Source organism: Homo sapiens, chromosome 16 (genome assembly GCF_000001405.40).
Source record: "Homo sapiens chromosome 16, GRCh38.p14 Primary Assembly".
Lineage (NCBI taxonomy): Eukaryota > Metazoa > Chordata > Mammalia > Primates > Hominidae > Homo > Homo sapiens.
Genome location: NC_000016.10, coordinates 57,203,923 through 57,222,482, shown reverse-complemented (window position 1 = coordinate 57,222,482; position 18,560 = coordinate 57,203,923). Strand labels below are relative to the sequence as shown.

At 40.2% G+C, this 18,560-nt stretch overlaps 1 protein-coding gene across 16 annotated transcripts in view, besides 1 other annotated feature; it reads right to left on the bottom strand.

The window, feature by feature from the left end:
* RSPRY1 (ring finger and SPRY domain containing 1) overlaps nucleotides 1-18,560 on the bottom strand; it is a 54,318-nt gene that overhangs the window by 17,987 nt on the left and 17,771 nt on the right. For 7 of the 16 annotated variants that reach the window (XM_024450483.2, XM_047434854.1, XM_024450482.2 and 4 more), the window contains 10 exons: nucleotides 17,475-17,979; nucleotides 14,798-14,890; nucleotides 14,373-14,425; nucleotides 13,296-13,408; nucleotides 9,385-9,511; nucleotides 8,537-8,595; nucleotides 6,310-6,376; nucleotides 5,448-5,579; nucleotides 1,636-1,751; nucleotides 1,068-1,211 (listed from right to left, as the gene is read on the bottom strand). In XM_024450483.2, coding sequence (XP_024306251.1) covers nucleotides 1,068-1,211; nucleotides 1,636-1,751; nucleotides 5,448-5,579; nucleotides 6,310-6,376; nucleotides 8,537-8,595; nucleotides 9,385-9,511; nucleotides 13,296-13,408; nucleotides 14,373-14,425; nucleotides 14,798-14,890; nucleotides 17,475-17,824 — 1,254 coding nt within the window. In that variant the 5' untranslated portion in view covers nucleotides 17,825-17,979. Of the gene's footprint in view, nucleotides 1-1,067; nucleotides 1,212-1,635; nucleotides 1,752-5,447; nucleotides 5,580-6,309; nucleotides 6,377-8,536; nucleotides 8,596-9,384; nucleotides 9,512-13,295; nucleotides 13,409-14,372; nucleotides 14,426-14,797; nucleotides 14,891-17,101; nucleotides 17,980-18,560 lie in introns of those variants that run through there. The other 9 variants (XM_024450484.2, NM_001305163.2, XM_005256220.3 and 6 more) reach the window with 3 other exon arrangements.
* Nucleotides 9,654-9,823: an enhancer, noted in NCBI's record as "experimental_43594 CRE fragment used in MPRA reporter constructs". NCBI's record gives its function as "activates a minimal promoter by MPRAs in K562 erythroleukemia cells, with activity observed for the introgressed 16:57246657 variant allele {active_cell/tissue: K562}" and the evidence as "EXISTENCE:reporter gene assay evidence [ECO:0000049][PMID:34662402]".

Here is an 18,560-nt window from a genome sequence, read left to right as displayed (position 1 = left end):
CCAGCCTAGGAGTTTTAATAATACACCATCAACAATTCCAGGGTGAAATACAGCCTTGCTGAAATAGGCCTTTAAAAATTATGCTTATAAGTAGGTCACCATGGGATGTGCCTGTAGTCTCAGCTATTCAGGAGGCTGAGGTAAGAGGATGGCTTGAGCCCAGGAGTTTGAGGCCAGCCTGAGCAACACAGTGAGACCTGTCTCTAAAAGCAAAGCAGAAAATCAGAAAACCTCACCATACTTATGGCCGGCAAGTTTAGCTTGATTTTGTTGGATCACTTCTAAAACCCATTCCAGGATCTTACATATTGGAGGGGGGGGCTATTATTTAGATTAACAAAATAATCCAAGGGGCTTTTCCCACCTCAAATGGTAGAAACCATATGAAAACAAAATATTCCTGATCAAAACTGGATTAATTCCAAACAGCTTATAATTTGATCATCAGAAGAAAGCCAATTGGCCTGGGTGTTAGAAGGGTATAAAGTGGCAAGAAATCATACATCTGTAGGAAAGGGAGGAACTCCAACACCTTCAATGCTACTTACTCTAGGATTTGTTTCCCTTTTATATTATAGCTTTCTATAACAAAAGATAAATAACTAAATATTGAGAAAAATATGCCAACTAATTACTAGGTAAAAGTCAAGTGAAAGAAGTCAAGCCAACACTCTATTTTTTGAAAGGAAAAGAATCCCTACAAAGCTCTTAAGAGCTTCAATTCAAGGTAATAATCAGCACTACTTCCTGTATAAGAAATGAGCCAAGTACGTGGCTGGGGTGGAAGCAGAGCCTACAAAGACAAAGGACACATCCAGCCTCTAGGTGAAAAATTAGCGTGAACTTAAGATTCAAGAAAAAGAAAAGGCCGAGGGGCAATTTCACTTGTTTTCCTATTTCTCTATCAGTTTAGTAGATCATTGTTAGGGACCTGGTACCATGTGGCTCTGCCCAAGAAAAGATTATTGAGCAAATCTATTTGAAAAATAAGTATTTTCCACCCACCAACTAGGGGGAAAAAGCAAACTGCCACTGCTCCCATTTTCACAGTTCTCTAGGGTACTCACATGATTGAGGAATTTGCTGTCTCGAGTGGCCCAGCCAATCTGCATGACGCCAGAAGTGACCACTGTTACTTCATAGTACCATACCCCGGCATCCACACAAAAGGTGCAACGCACACTTTCAAAAGAGGAGGCATCACAGCGAGCCTGGCAAAACCAAAAAATGTGTCAATCAACTATGAGGGCCTGAAGACCACCAAAGATAACTGACTACTGGGAAGGTTGAGTGTATTTTTCCTTATTAAAACTTCTGGTGGACTATTGCTTCCTCCTCTGTCCATCCTCAGTGACAAAAAGTACAAAACCAAACTACATAAGGCATTTGGCAACATACAGAATCAAAGAATTGTTTGCAGCCATTCTTCAAACAGTTCTTTAATCCTGACACATCTAGTGCCTTATGGTACCTTCTGTTCATAAGCAGCTCTTTGAGACTTCCCCCTGAAGTCAGCAACATTTCCAAAATACAGGGAGAGTGGGAAGCACCAGCCCTAAGACAACTGGCTATGCAAGGATTAAAATAATTACCCTCTCATCCCCCAAAGGGTCCAACTGTAGAAGCATTACCTACCTCTAAGCCATGAGGTGAGATCTTCAGGTACTCGCTGACATCATTGCTATTCAGCATGGCCCTAATGCTACTCAAGTTCACTTTCTCATAGGTCAGCTGTCTACCTTCTTTTAAAACTGCAAAAGAAAGAGTGTTCATGTTTCTAAGGCAGGCTGCTGTGGAGAAAAGAAGAAGCTAGTGCCAGCTACAGCAATCAGACAAGAGGAAGAAATAAAGGGCATCCAAAATGGAAAGGAAGAAGTCAAATTATCCATGTTTGTGGATAATATGATCTTATATTTAGGAAAACCTAAAAAAATCTGCCAAAAACTATTAGAACTAAAAAGCAAATTCAGTAAAGTTGCAGGATATAAAATTAACAGACAAAAATCAATAGCATTTCTATATGCCAATAGCAAACAATCTGAAGAAGAAATCAAGAAAGTAATTGTATTTACAAAAGCTATAAATAAAATAAGATACCTAGGAATAACTTAATCAAAGAAGTGAAAGATCTCTACAATGAAAACTATAAAACACTAATGCAAGAAATCAAAGAGGACACAAAGATATACCATGGTCATGGATTGGAAGACTCAATATTGTTAAAATGTCCATACTACTCAAAGCAATCTACAGATTACATGCAATCCCTATCAAAATACCAATGACATTCTTCACAGAAATAGTAAAAAATAATCCTAAAATTTATACAGAACTACAAAAGACCCAGAATAGCAAAAAACCTGACCCTCAGCAAGAAAACGAAACTGGAGGAATCACATTACTTGACTTCAAATTATACTATGGAGTCATAGGAACCAAAACTGCATGGTACTGGCATAAAAACAGACACATGGACCAATGGAACAGAAGAGAGAATCCAGAAATCCATACATCTACAGTGAACTCATTTTCAACAAAGGTGCCAAGAACATACATTGGGGGAAAGGACAGTGTCTTCAATAAATGGTGCTGGAAAAACTACATATCCATAAGCAAAAGAATAAAACTAGACCCCTATCTCTCATTGCCTACAAAAATCAAATAAAAATGGATTAAAGATTTAAATCTAAGACCTCAAACTATGAAGCTACTAAAATAAAACATTGGGGAAACTCTCCAGGACACTGATCTGGGCAAAGATTTCTTGAATACCCCAAAAGCACAGGCACCAAAGCAAAAATGGACAAATGGGATCATATTAAGCTAAAAAGTTTCTTACAGCAAAGGAAATGATCAACGAAGTAAAGAGACATCCCACAGAATGGGAGAAACTATTTGCAAACTATCCATTCGACAAAGGATTAATAACCAGAATATATAAGGAGGTCATATAAGTCAATAGGAAAACATTCAATAATCTGATTAAAAAGTGGGCAAAACATCCGAATAGACATTTCTCAAAGGAAGACATACAAATGGCAAACAGATATATGAAAAGGTACTCAACATTATTGATCATCAGAGAAATCCAAATCAAAACTACAATGAGCTATCATCTCACCCCAGTAAAAATGGCATTTATCTAAAAAACAGGCAACAATGAATGCTGGTGAGGATATGGAGAAAAGGTAACCCTTGTACACTGGTAGTAGGAATGCAAATTAGTATGGCCACTATGGAGAACAGTATGGAGGTTCCTCAAAACACTAAAAACAGAACTACCATATGATCCGGCAATTCTGCTGCTAGGTATACACCAAAAAGAAAGGAAATTAGTATGTCAAAGAAATATCTGCAATCGCATGTTTATTGCAGCATTATTCACAATAGCCAAGATTTGGAATCAACCTAAGTGTCCATCGAGAGACAAATGAATAAAGAAAATGTGGCCGGGCGCGGTGGCTCACGCCTGTAATCCCAGCACTTTGGGAGGCCGAGGCGGGCGGATCACGAGGTCAGGAGATCGAGACCATCCCGGCTAAAACGGTGAAACCCCGTCTCTACTAAAAATACAAAAAAATTAGCCGGGCGTAGTGGCGGGCGCCTGTAGTCCCAGCTACTTGGGAGGCTGAGGCAGGAGAATGGCGTGAACCCGGGAGGCAGAGCTTGCAGTGAGCCGAGATCCCGCCACTGCACTCCAGCCTGGGCGACAGAGCGAGACTCCGTCTCAAAAAAAAAAAAAAAAAAAAAAAAAAAAAAAAAGAAAATGTGGCACATATACAAAATGGAGTACTGTTCAGCCACAAAAAAGAATGAGATCCTGTCATTTACAATAACATGGATGGAACTGTAGGATATGATGTTAAGTGAAATAAGTCAGGCACAGAAAGACAAACTTCGTGTGTTCTCACTAATTTTTGTGGGAGCTAAAAACAACTGAACTCATGAAGATAGAAAATAGAAGGATGGTTACCAGAGGCTGGGAAGGGTAGTGGGGGTGGGGGAGAAATGGGGTTGGTTAATGGGAATATAGCTAGATAGAATGAAGAACACCTAGTATTTGACAGCATAACAGGGTGACTACAGTCAACAATAATTTATAGTATATTTAAAAATAACTAAAAGAAAAGTGCAAAACAAAGAAATTTTAAAACACCAAAAGAGTATAATTGGAATGTTTCTAACACAAATAAATGATAAATGCTTGAGGGGACAGATATCCCATTTACTCTGATGTGGTAATTACTCATTGTATGACTGTATCAAAATATCTCATGTGCTCCAAAAATATGTATTACTATATATCCATTAAAAATAATCCCCCTGGAAGGTAAAACACACTGATTTTTCATACATTAAAAATAAACAAACAAATAAGTTAGTGCTACCCTAGTCAAGGAGTAGAGATGCTCGTAAATGGCAGAATAGGTGAGGAGACATAGCCAGAGGTTTCCTGCTGCACTGCCATTTGAAGATCAATCAAACAAATGCTAGGAAAGGCAGCACTGCTAGATTTATGCTTCCATTCCCTAGAATATAATTTTGTATGAACAAAATCCAAATTGCACTCTTTCAGAATTATTCTTTAACTGGCACTTCACAGGCTGTGCATGAAGCTCCTCCCCACAATATTGGGGTAACAGTGGGGGTGGATTTACATGTCCAGTTATGCTTTAGCGTAGTATTAACCATGGATGGGGGAGTGAGGGTACAGAAGTATACAGGTTGATCACTCTTAATCTGAAAATCCAAAATGCTCCAAAATCCAATACTTTTTGAGTGCAGACATGAGGCTCAAAGGAAATGCTCAATGGAGGATTTCAGATTTTTTGATTAAGGATGCTTAACCTGGTATCTGCAAATACTCCAAAATCTGAAAAAATGTGAAATCTGAAATACTTTCAGTCCCAAGCATTTCAGATAAATTCTACCTAAAAGAGAAACTCAACCTATAGTAGTTTTTGTCCCAGCAGCCCTTGGAGGAGGAAAAGAGAAAAATCAGGAACAATTCTCATGATGTAGGTAAGACATGACTTGGGTTTTGAAGAGCAAAGTTGGGAAAGGGAGAGAAGTAAAGAGGGAATTCCAAGTGAGGGGAATAGGTCCAGAGGTAGGAATCATCAGGACCTGTTTGTAGGACAGTGGGATGATTTGTGTTGGAAAGAGCTGGTTAGACAGTGCCATATAATTAAGGGCTTTGATGCAGCAGGAAACTGGGTGCCAGTAAAGGTTTTTGAACAGGAAAATGCTGAAATTAGAAGCATACCATGTAATTCTTGTCTAAAGGGTCTCTAGGATACTTTTCTGCTAGAATATATCCAACCTGCCAGTAGAGGTCCTTATGAGGACTCATACTTACCATTGCAAAAGGAAGACCAGTGAGCCTATGAAAGAAATGAGTCTGGAAATGGAAACGGACATTTTAATAAAGGACAACTCCCACTTACAGAGATTGTCTAAGCTCCACTGGGCACAGAAACCAACTTGACGTTTCAGATAATCAGGATCATTAGCCCAGGACTCCAATGTGACAAGCCGGTCACTAATACTGGATTCAGAAATAGTCAATTTATTTTCACCTGTTTGGAAAGACATAATCCTTGAATTAACAATGAAAGGGTAGAATGATTTGCTCAGCAAATTAGTATTGCTAAGGAGGGGGAAGAGGCAATTAAAGAATTGGAGACTAGATTAGACTTCAATTAAAATTTCTAGGGAAAACATAGCCAAAGAGCTTTGACTATTTTGTTTTCCTTTTTTTTAGTCACAGGGTCTCACTCTGTTGCCTAGGCTGGAGTGCAGTGGCACAACTATGGATCACTGTAACCTTGAACTACTGGGCTCAAGTGATCCCCCCGCCTCAGCATCCCAAGTAGCTAGGAACATAGGTGCATGCCACCATGCCTGGCTGATTTTTTAAAATTTTTTGTAGAGATTGAGTCTTGCTATGCTGCCCACCCTGGTCTCGAATTCCTGGCCTGAAGCAATGCTCTGGCCTTAGCTTCCCAAAGTGCTGGGATTATGGGCAAGAGCCACCATACTTTTTTCTAGAAACTAGCAATCACATCACTAAATTTTTGGCTATAAAAAGTGAGTAAACATGGTTACCAAGTTTTGATTCTTAGGTGAGAAAATCCTTGCCTTTGTCCCTGTTATACTTCATTGGCTTTAACGTGTCTATCCAGATGAAAACAGAATGTATGCCCATCTGATGGGGTTCAAAGTGTAGGCTTATCCAGTAACTAAGAAAAATAAAATTTTTAACAACCAATACAGAAGATCATTAGTGCAAGAAGTCACTATACCTACTTGTCTGTGCAAACTTTTCCAGTGCGATAAGTGCAAAAAGCATGACTGTGGGGTGGGACTGTAACTTCTGAAAAACAACAAAAGATAAAAAAAAAAAAAAAAAATCATTCCCCTGCAGAGGTGGCAAGTTATCAGTTTCATTTCCTTGCCCAATATGTGCTAGATGTTTTTTCGAGTGGTCAGAAAAGTTTCATTCATTCAAGTTCTCAATTATCCATTTGGCTAATAATGTTAGTAATGAACTGGACAGGCTCTCTTAATCTTGTATTTTTTTCTTAAAGTCACTAGGTTAATTTATAGATTTGGAAATTTCAAAAGTATCCTGTTAAATACACTATGTTATTTTACTTAATAAAACTTACATTAGGGCTTTGTTAAATAAAATATTCATTCTCACATTCATTTATGCAAGCCAAACAGAAACCTAGAATTATAAACTAAAAATGATATTTTACTTAGAATCCTAAAAAGAACCACTTATCACTAACAAGTTGCAAAATTATAAATAATTAAATTAACAATTAATGGCTCAGTTTTTAAGCTGTTCCCTGAAAGGAATTCTACAAATGCTGATGGTAGACAGGAGAAAGCAACAAGTGAACTCTTTTAGTTACATTTAAGCTCATGTCACATGAGTTCCCCTTTAAGGAAAGGTCTATCTGTTGAACATGACACCTTCTCATAGCTGTGCTTTCCCTACTGCTACATTGGGAGCCACCAGAGGAGCTCCAGAACATCAGATGATTCCCACTGACTTCCCTGGTACCTCCTAAGTTCTGGAAACCTCACATAACCACCATCCCTGCTGCTGGAAAGCCTATTCAGCATTCTATTTCTTCTCATATCCATCTAAATCCCTCTGCCTGGCTTTTCAGGCCCTAAACCCTTTCTAGCTGGCTACTCAGTCTGTGTCCTATCTCTGAACACTGTCTTCTCTCATCAGACAATTCTCTGTCTCTGGACTTCTGCCTGTGATGTTCCCTTAGCTAAGAAACCAATTTTTTCCCTCCTCTGGGCACAATAAAATCCTCATCTATAGCATGACCCAGCTGAGGGTCCACCTTCATCAGGAAGTCTGACTTTCATGACACCCCGGCTCTCATTACCCATACCACCCACCTTCTCATTTAGTCTTTTTTTTTTTTTGAGATGGAGTCTCGCTCTGTCGCCCAGGCTGGAGGGCAGTGGTGAGATCTCAGCTAACTGTAATCTCTGCCTTCTGGGTTCAAGTGAATTCCTGCCTCAGCCTCCTGAGTAGCTGGGACTACACACACATGCCACCATGCCCAGCTAATTTTTGTATTTTTAGTAGGGACCAGGTTTCGCCATGTTGGCCAGGCTGGTCTTGAACTCCTGACCTCAGGTGACCAGCCCACCTCAGCCTCCCAAAATGCCGGGCTTATAGGCATGAGCCACCGTGCCCGGCCCTCATTTAGTCTTGATGAAGTACTTTCTCCCATGATCACATCCTGTGATAAAATGGAGGCTAATTACCTTGTCTGAGTAGTTTTGTTTCCTCAACTAACCAATAAACCTCTTGAAATCATAGGACTGCCATGTTGTATCCCCAGAGTGCTCATTGAGAGTAAGGTAAGTGTTTTAAGCACGTATCAGTGGGTATTGACAAATAAGGGTTTTCAGACCAGAGTTTTGAAAAGGGCCAATGCTCACTAGGCCTACAAAAATAACTTTTAAAAATACAGACCATTCAAGACCACAGGCCAGAACTATGAGAGATCTGAGGGCACAGCCTCAGCAAACCAGAAGCTTCATAGACAATATATTAAATATTCCAGTGACAACAGTTTTAAGAGTAGCAGTGAGGGGGAGGGCAGGGAGGAGTAGAGATTTATATATACTGGGAATCTGACTTGATGGCCTCCTGGCTTGGAACGCCATGTAATTGTTTCTACTGTGGAGGTCCCTATTACCATTTGGCAAACTCAAGGAACATGCAAAAGAGCCAATCATAGCAGCTATCTTATGACTAAATTTAAAACCAGACTAACTCAGCTGTTTTTGCTGGTTGGGATAAATTCCAATCCCACTCTCTTTTTTAAACATAGGAGGGAATAAATAAGCACTCGGGAAACACCTGCAAATAAAATTTACAATTGATTCCATTCTCTGTGCCAGTGGCTATGCCAGCAATTTGAGAAAATGCACAGTTCTAGATGATGCCCACTTCTAGATGACTAAGAATAAATAGTTTTGATGTCTCACTTACCAGACACTGTAGCAAGTATTCCAGTATTCCTGGGCTAAGTAAACCTATACTTGCAGGACCTAGACAAATACAACAAACACTTGATATAATTAAAATGCCAGATTATTTTAAATCACTGGTAACAATCAAATTGTTTTGGTAGAACTCTTTCATGCACATTATCTTATTAAAGCCTCCTGCTCTGAGGTAGAAAATAGTACTAGCTCCATTTCACAGTTAAGCAAGTGAGCCCACAGAATTAAGCAACTAACTCCAGGGCACTTGGCAAGCACATGGGAGAGTCCAAACCAGTAGCCACATGTTCTGATTTCTAATCCATTGTTTCTTCCACATTACGTGATGTAAGTAGCTGAGCTATGCCCCTGTACTTTGCTGTTAACTTTCTTAAAATGGGTAACATTCATAAACAAATTAAATACCTGCTTCTCAGGAACTGCTCCAACCAGAAGTTCCTTTTCCTCTCCCTCTACCTTGTATGTCTTCATAATCGAGCTAAACTTTATAAAGTGTGTATATATGCAAATTATATATTGTATACACACATACATATCTTTGTTATGCTGAATTTAGCTTTTCTCCCTTTTTTCTTTTCCTCGCTCCTTATTCTTAAAGCAAATAAGCACAACTTTTTTCTTTTAAAATTTCCCCTGAAAATCCACAAAGCTAAATTAAATTGCATTCACCTCTGTAGCCTTTCAGTAATTTTCTTCCAGTTAGTCTATGTCTCTCAATATCATTTTTAAGAGATTTCTTTCTGGTATAGCAGTTTGATCAAAGACATACAGTACAAATTTCCCTTTAATGTCAAACAACTTAAGATCTTCCACTGTGGAGTGTCCCAAAGTTACCTGCTAGTTTCTCGGCCAAGCAGCCTAGGACTGCAGATGTGTTCCTGTGTTTGGCAGGATGGCTTGAGTCCTGGCAAGCTACTTCTCCATTTAAATTGAGAATTTCAGTCAATTTCTGGAGTGCATCCTAAAACAAAAAAGTACAAGTGGGTTTGACCCATATACTACACAGGTTGTTTTCCCAGGCTCATTTTTTTTTTGAGACAAAAGCTATAACCAGCACTTTGGGAGGCCGAGGCGGGCGGACCACAAGGTCAAGAGTTCGACACCAGCCTGGCCAACATGGTGAAACCCCATCTCTACTAAGAATACAAAAATTAGCCAGGTGTGGTGGTGCGCGCCTGTAATCCCAGCTACTCAGGAGGCTTAGGCAGGAGAATCACTTGAACCTGGGAGGTAGAGGTTGCAGTGAGCCGAGATCGTGCCACTGCACTCCAGCCTGGACGACAGAGCAAGGCTCCGTCTCAGGGGGGTGGGGGGAGCTATAACCAGGTGTTAAATAAACTCAGAATGACCATATAAAAATTATGCAATGTACCCTAATGATATCATTGATGGGAAATATCTGATCAACCTGAAAGTCTCCTTACATGACTTACTAGATTCCACTTCATTCAGAATGCTTAAGTTGTATCAAATATATGCTACATATTCTTGAATCACTAAACAGATTAAACCCACTCAGATGCCATTATGAAAACATTAAAGGCTGGTGATGTTGAAGTAAAAAGTTACTTTAAAAAAAGTTTTACTAAGCAAAAACAAATCCCAGCAGAGTTTTCTTCTTTTCTTTTTGCTCTTGCTCTGTTTCCCAGGCTGCTGTGCAGTGAAGTGATCATGGCTCACTGTAGCCTTTACCTCCTGGGCTCAAGTGATCCTCCCACTTCAGCCTCCCTCGTAGCTGGGACTACCGGCACATGTCACAGTGCCCAGATAATTTTAATTTTCTGTAGAGATGGGAATCTCATTATGTTGCCCAGGCTGGTCTTGAACTCCTGGCCTTAAGTGATCCTCCTGCTTCAGCCCCCAAAAGTTTTGGGATTATAGGCATGAACCACTGCACCCTGCCCCAACAGAGTTGAAGGCAAATTGAAACAGGCAGCTCTTATAAGCCTAGGCAAAGGTCAATTCATTGGTGACTACGCTAAAGACTTTCCCCTTCCGTCCACAATGTTTTTCTGCACTGGGCTTAAACAGATGAATGAAAATGCCAGAATTGAGGCTGGGCACAGTGGCTCATGCCTGTAATCCCAGCACTTTGGGAGGCCAAGGTGGGAGGATGCTTGAGCCCAGGAGTTTGAGACCAGTCTGGGCAACATAGCAAGACTCCATCTTAAAAATGAAAGATGCCAGAATCCAAAAGAAGAAAAAAAGAAAAAAAAAAAGGACTCTGTAAAACACATGGGAAAGCAATGAAAGTTCGATGCTTTTGTTCTATGTAAAGGATAACCAATGTTACACTAATCATTAATACATTTGAGTAAGATTCAAAAGTGCTTTCAGTTTTAACTTTTTTTTGTTGTTGTTGTTGAGATGGAGTCTCACTCTGTCGCCCAGGCTGAAGTGCAGTGGTGCAATCTCAGCTCACTGCAGCCTCCACCTTCCGAGTTCAAGTGATTCTCCTGCCTCAGCCTCCTAAGTAGCTGGGATTACAGGTGCACGCCATCGTGCTGGCTAATTTTTGTATTTTTAGTAGAGATGAGGTTTCACCATGTTGGCCAGGCTGGTCTTGAACTCCTGACCTCAAGTGATCTGTCTGCCTTGGCCTCCCAAAGTGTTGGGATTACAGGCATGAGCCACCGTGCCTGGCTTTCTTTTTTTTTTTTTTTTTTAACAGAGACAAGGTCTCACTATGTTGTTCAGGCTGGTATCAAACTCCTGAGCTTAACTGATCCTCCTGCCTTGGTCTCCCAAAGTGCAGGGATCACAGGCATGAGCCAGTACATTCAGCCCAGTTTTTCCTCTTAATAAAAAACATTCTTAAAACTTTTGTTATGAGGAAATTGCTTAGAGAAAGATAAGAAAATCAGCGAAGCAACTCAACATTCTCTTCTAGCTTCTGAATAAAGATCGCCACCTGAGATACAAATACTTCTTTTTTTAACCAGGCTGGAGTGCAATAACGCCATCTTGTCTCACTGCAATCTCGACCTCCAGATTGCAAGTGATCCTCCCACCTCAGCCTCCTGAGCAGCTGGGACTATAGGCATGCACCACGTTACCCTGTTAACTTTTGGATTTTTTTGTAGAAACAGGGTTTCACCATGTTGCCAGGCTGGTCTTGAACTCCTGGACTCAAACAATCTGCCTGCTTTGGCCTCCCAAAGTGTTGAGATTACAAGTGTGAGCCACTGCGCCCAACCTAAATGCTTCTTTTTTTTTTTTTGAGACAGAGTTTCGCTTTGTCGCCCAGGCTGGAGTGCAGTAGCACAATCTCAGCTCACTGCAACCATTGCCTCCCAGGTTCAAACAATTCTCGTGCCTCAGCCTCCTGAGTACTGGGATTACAGGTGCCTGCCACCACTCCCGGCTGATTTTTAGTAGAGACGGGGTATTTTAGTAGAGACGGGGTTTCACCATGCTGTTCAGGCTGGTCTCGAACTCCTGACCTCAGGTGATCCACCCACCTCAGCCTCCCAAAGTGCTAGGATTACAGGCGTGAACCACCGCGCCCAGCCTTAAATGCTTCTATTTTTAACATTTAAAAAATTTTAACCTAGGCTGGGCACAGTGGCTTACACGTATAATCCCAACACTTTGAGAAGCCAAGGTGGGAGGATCCCTTGAGCCCAGGAGTTCAAAATCAGCCTGGGCAACATAGTGAGACCCTTTATCTACAAAAAATAAAAAAAATTTAGCTAGGTGTGGTGGTGCATGCCTGTAGTCCAGCAACATGGGAAGCTGAGGCAAGAGGATCACTTGAACCTGAGAGGTTGAGGATACAGTGAGCCATGACTGTGCCACTGCACTCTAGCCTAGGCGGGGCCGGGGAAGGAAGGGAGGCAAGAAGGAAAGGGAAGGAAAGAAGGAAGGAAGGGAGGAAGGGAGGAAGGGAGGGAGGGAGGGAGGGAAAGAAAGAAAGAAGAAAAAAAAGCAATTAAATAAAGCCTTGATAGAGAATGTGGCGGGGCACAGTGGCTAACGCCTACAATGCCAGCACTTCGGGAGGCTGAGGTGGGCTGACTGCTTGAGCCCAGGAGTTTCAAGACCAGCCTGGGCAACATGATGAAACCCCATCTCTAAAAAAAAATACAAAATTAGCCAGACATGGGGTCATGCACCTATGGTCCCAGCTACATGGGAGGCTGAGGTGGGAGGATCACCTGAGCCTAGGGAGGTTGCAGCTGCAGTGAGCTGTGATTGCTCTACTGCACGCCAGCCTGGGTGACAAAGTGAGACCCTGTTTCAAAATAAATAAATAAAAAGACAGAGGGCTGGGTGCAGTGGCTCATGCCTGTAGTCCCAGCACTTTGGGAGGAGGCCGAGGCAGGTGGATCACCTGAGGTCAGGAGTTCAAGACCAGCCTGGCCAACATGGTGAAATCCCGTTTCTACTAAAAATCCAAAAATCAGCCAGGTGTGGTGGCGGGTGCCTGTAATCCCAGCTACTTGGGAGGCTGAGGCAGGAGAATCGCTTGGACCCGGGAGGCGGAGGTTGCAGTGAGCCAAGATCACATCATTGCACTCCAGCCTGGGCAACAGAGTGAGACTCTTGTCTCAAAGAGGAAAAGAAAAAAAAAGAGGACATAATTCTTCATAATACAAAATAAATTTACATAACAAAATCAATACTGAATAAAACAGACCCCAAATGTATAAAGATGAAACACAATACATCAAATGTTCTTTGTGGTCATTTATCTTGTGCTTAAGCACAAATGATAGTTTCATAAAAGATAAGTATTAACTTACTTTAGTGGGCAATGGACATTCATCTAGTAACAATGTTATAACAGCTGGTCCCAGTGGATCTTCCAGTGGAATAACTCTAATTAAAGACTGGACAACATCCAACCATCCTTCATCTAAGAGCAAATCAAGAAGATTATATGATGGAGTCACTATTTTTAAAATGTGAAAATATGTCACACGAGATCAATTCACATTAAAAGAAAGACTTTTGGTCTATAGATTTTTAGCAGCTAATATTTGGCATGGACATAATCATCAATTGCTAGTCATCGTGGTGGAGTAAAAACATCTTAAGTTACAGGAGTCTGGTGATTTGTGGGTACCTTTATTTGGAAAAAGGTTAAGCTATGGTCTTGTGCTCTCACATTAAAATAGTTTTAAGCATCTTATTTACTACATAGGAGTTAACTGAGAAAATGAAGTATACTCAGCAGTTGGCTTTGTTTTCAGAATGATACTTAGGAAACTAAGGAACAAAAAATATCTTTGGCCAGGGGCTGTGGCTCACACCTGTAATCCCAGCACTTTGGGAGGCTGAGGCAGGAGGATCCCTTGAGCCCAGGAGTACAAGACCAGGCTGGGCCAACATGGTGAAATTCTGTCTCTACAAACAACAGAAAAATTGCTGGGTATTGTGGCATGCGCCTGTGGTGCTAGCTACTTGAGAAGCTGAGGTGGGGTGATCACCTGGGCCAGGGTAGGTTGAGGCTGTAGTTGAGCTGTGATCGTGCCACTGCACTCCAGCCTGGGCAACAGAGTGAGACTCTGTCTCAAAAAAAAAAAAAAATATATATATATATATATATATATAAATAATCTCCTCTCCATTCCAGAACAGTATGGTGAAAGATCCATCAATGCCAAAAAAAAAAAAAAAAAAAAAAAGGTATAATATGCATTGCCTATTATACCTATTCAGGGAAATTTCCATACAGTAAGGGCTTTTTTCATTGTTATGTATGCTGTATTTTTGGAGTCTTTTATCTCAAAACAAAACAAAACAAAAAACAAAAGGTGGCTACTTTTCTTCATTATTATATATTCATTATAAAGTAATGAAAACAAAACTAAAAATACCTGTTTCTGCCATTTCGTGTAATGTTATCATTGAATAGGGAGGTTCCTGATCACTGGAAAAAAAAATTCAAGGCATTAAACCTGAGGAAATAATAAATGACAATTCCAAATAAGAATTCAAACTGGAGGTGTGGAGGTAAAAAGGGACAGAAGAAATGAACACAAATGTAAGGAAAGAGATAGAAGAGACAACCTGAGCTATGACCTGTAAGGATGAATGTATACCATATGTGCTCATTTCCAGTCACTGTCCACAATGACCCACAGACAAAATGGGCAGGTGGATACAGACAAAGACTACTATGTGTCCTGGGGTAAAAGCACAGGAGTAAAACTGGAGATCACAGCCTACTCTCAGCTTTACACTCAGAGGCCCAGTGCCAACTGAGACAAGCCAGGAAGGTCAACATCACCTTCATACTTACCTCAGAGAAATGCCAGGAAGAGAGACGACAATCCCGGTTGAGGACTTATGGAAGCAAGGGCCTATATACGCATCTTCATTTTGAAGTTTTCTTCTGGAAATACCACTACATGCTTAGACTTCATAAAATGGTATTACAAGAAACAAAACCAAACTTAAGGAACTACTTAACATTCTAGACATTGCTCCAAAGTGGCATTATACACCTTAATTCAGTGGTGTGATCCCAGAAATCTTTAAAAAGTCCTTCAGGGGAACTTCAATAATGAGATGTTTTCCATTAAACAATTCTAACTGCTTAAGAACTCACCACTTATTTGTTTACATATTGTGGGTCTCTGTTTTAGTGTGGAAAAAAAAAAAGCCCCAAAAACTATCATCTTAAGTCATTTAATCCAGAGAATAACCTTGTGATATGGGAATTAGTATGGTCATTTCAGGTACTCATTAGGTGCTGCCTGTTTAAACAATATAATTGACTGATGCAAGTATTTCTGAAGAATGATCTGGCAATAATAAAATTAAGTATGCATATACCCAACAGTTGTAGATAAATTTTTACACAGGTCCAAAAATCAATGCATATTTGCGCTGTTCACTGCAGTGCTGTTTGTAAGAACAAAAATTTGGCAGTAACCTAAGTGACCATCACCAGATGAAAATGTAACAAAATATAATACTTTCAGGCATACAAGGGAATACTCTGTAATAGTCAGAAGCAGTTGTAGATTTATATACAGTAACACAGATTTCGATGTTGAGAAAAGTTAAAAACAAAGAGGTTTGTATAACTATGTCACTCTCTTTTAAAATATTGCAAGGGGCCAAGCGTGGGGGCTCACATCTGCAATCCCAGCACTTAAGGAGGCTGAAGCTCGACAATCGCTTGAGTCCAGGTATTTGAGACCAGCCTGGGCAACATGGCAAGACCTGGCTCTACAAAAACTTTTTTAAAAATTAGCCAGGTGCAGTAGCACACGCCTGTAGTCCAAGCTACTTAGGAGGCTGAGGTGGGAGGATGGTTTGAGTCCAGGAGGCTGAGGCTGCAGTGAGTCATGATCACGCCACTGTACGCCAGCCTGGGTGACAAAGTGAGACCCTGTCTCTTTAAAAACAAAACAAAACAAAAAAACTCTCTCTCTCAAAGTCTATTCTGCACCCATTTTTCCAATGAGCTTAAATTAACATTGTTTGTGGTTTACTTCCTTATTTGGGAAGGATAACTTTTATTACAATTTGGTACAAGGGATTTAAAAAATTTTTTTTGATTAATTAATTTTTGAGACAGGGTCTTGCTCTATTGCCCAGGCTGGAGTGCAGTGGTGTGATCATAGCTCACTGCAGCTGGAAACTCCTGGACTCTAGCAGTACTCCGGTCTTAGAATCCTGAGTAGCTGGGATCACAGGCAAGTGCCACTGTACCTGGATAATTTTTAAATTTTTTTTGCAGAGATGGGATCTCCCTATGTTGCCTAGGCTGGTCTTGAACTCCTGGCCTCCAGCTATCTTTCTACCTCAGCCTCTCAAAAGTGTTGGAATTACAGGTATGAGCCATTGTGTCTGGCCAAAAAATTATTCTTCTCGAAGACTAACAAATGCTCCAGTATTTTATGGAAAAGTTTAATACAGCTCTAAAAATTCGTTTGTATTCACAGGTACACTCTGTTTTATGCTTAATTTTTGAGGAACTAAACGAAACTGGGTTTCTATAAATGCGATTATCAAATGTTTATATACTTAAATTTACTAGCAGGGCCTGAAGCAAAAAGAACACATAAGTAACTTTTTAAAAAATACTACCATCTACTGAGCAACTGTTAAGTACAAAGCTCCACACTGAATGCCTTATGTACATTATCTCATGATAATCCTTGTGGGAACAATATTATCCCCCCATTTACAGATGAGGAATCTGAGGCTTCAAGAAGTAACTTACCCAATGTCATGCAGTTAGTAAGGCACTGGGCCAGAACTTGAGCTAGGCCCATCATGGTTCTAAGCTTTGTGCTCTTAACTACTGAAATATACAACCTTAAGTTAAATGTTTTTTTCTACTTGGATGCCCTTTAATTTCACTGTTATTCAATCTATGATTTTGTATTTAGAGGTAGACAAAGCAGAGGAAAAGACAAAACAGGTACAGGTGTGCCTTGCAGTATCAACTGACAAGCTTCCTAAATGGATTAAAGATAGTCAAATAAGGGATAAAGGATCAAATAAAGGATAATGAAAACTCTCCTTGACCTTAGTCCTTATGTTGCCAAGAGAAGTTGCCTGTAGCCATGTTCTTGGTAAAACAACTTACCTTGAATCTGAGGTCAGTGGAATAGACAGGCATGTACCATTAACAGTGAGCCTTCATGAAACCATTTCCTATTGTAGCTAGCAACATAAACTCACTCCATATTTACTCTATTCTCTAATAAAGATCATAGCTTTATCGTGTTTTCTGCTACAGAAACATTTAGACATTTCCAGACAAAGTAGATGACAGCAAGCAAAAACATCAAATCTTATCATTTACTCTGCCATCAGCGGAGCATTAAAATATTCTCCTTTGCCCTGTGAGCACAAGGCTTGGCGAGTATGTCCTAAAGGAACTGAAGGAGTCCTAAAGTCATGGTTCCGGGCAGAACACTTTTCATTCCACTGGAGGTGACCGTGAGTCAGATACTTACTTATCTACAAGAGTCCGTATTACTGCCAGTGTGTCCAACACTAGCCCATCCACATTTTGTTTCTTTCTCCTTGGCTCATGAGGTCCTCGGCCCCTCCTTGGTGGCCGAACAGGGTCCCGTGGTTGGCTCCTTGTGTCAGCAGTGGGTACTGCACTGTTCTCGGCCTGTTGCTGTTGGGTGTCAACACTGTCATCTGTTCCACTGTCATCTCGGCAGATACAGGAATTACCCATGGTAGTAGCGGCACCTCCAGTCCCTAGGAAGTGGGCTATGTGCTCTTCGAGAGTCAACAACAGACCCTGGCCAAGGCTTCTGCTCGCTAAGAACACGGCCCAACCAAAGACGATCATTTAGGTAGTTTTCAGTTTTCCAAGTACTGTTTTCATAACCTGGAGTTGAGGAATTTGCATCCTATTTGTTTTTAACAACTGAATGCCAAAGAAAGTTGCAGAGCTTATTCCCAACATTATCAACTACAGGGGATTCTGGACATCCAATGGCAGTTCTAAAAGAAAATGAGAAAAAGGAAAATGAATAAAAGATTCTTGACCACTTAATTACTCAAATTTTCCTAGTCTGATTTTATAGATATTAGGATTCTAATGAAGAATTATCTTTGGTTATTTTTATAGGTTTCCAATACAAAGAGATAGCTTTGGATAACAGAATTCGCAATCAATCAATAATTTCTTTTTATCATTCTGTTACAAAGTTGATTGCCAAACCATATTCTTATAGACCAGAGGAGTTATCATTGATTTTTTTAAAACCACATGTATAGTTTTTCCTGTCTATATAGAAATACATTAGAAGGATGTGTGCATTTTTTTTCAAGGGCTCCTTTTATCATAAAAAAAGAGTTGTCTTTCTGTGTAAGAGGTAGGTGTTAAAAAGAGAAAAATCTTTAAAAAAATGAATTAACTCCTTTCTTTAAACCCATAGGATAATTTAACAAGTTTTAAATAAAATAATTACAGACGTTTGTTGTTAAAAAAAAGTTATGATACAAATATGATAGCACCATTTGATATCAAGGAGAATAAAAGGATAGAGTTTCCCATTGGAAGCTCACTCAAGAACTGACAG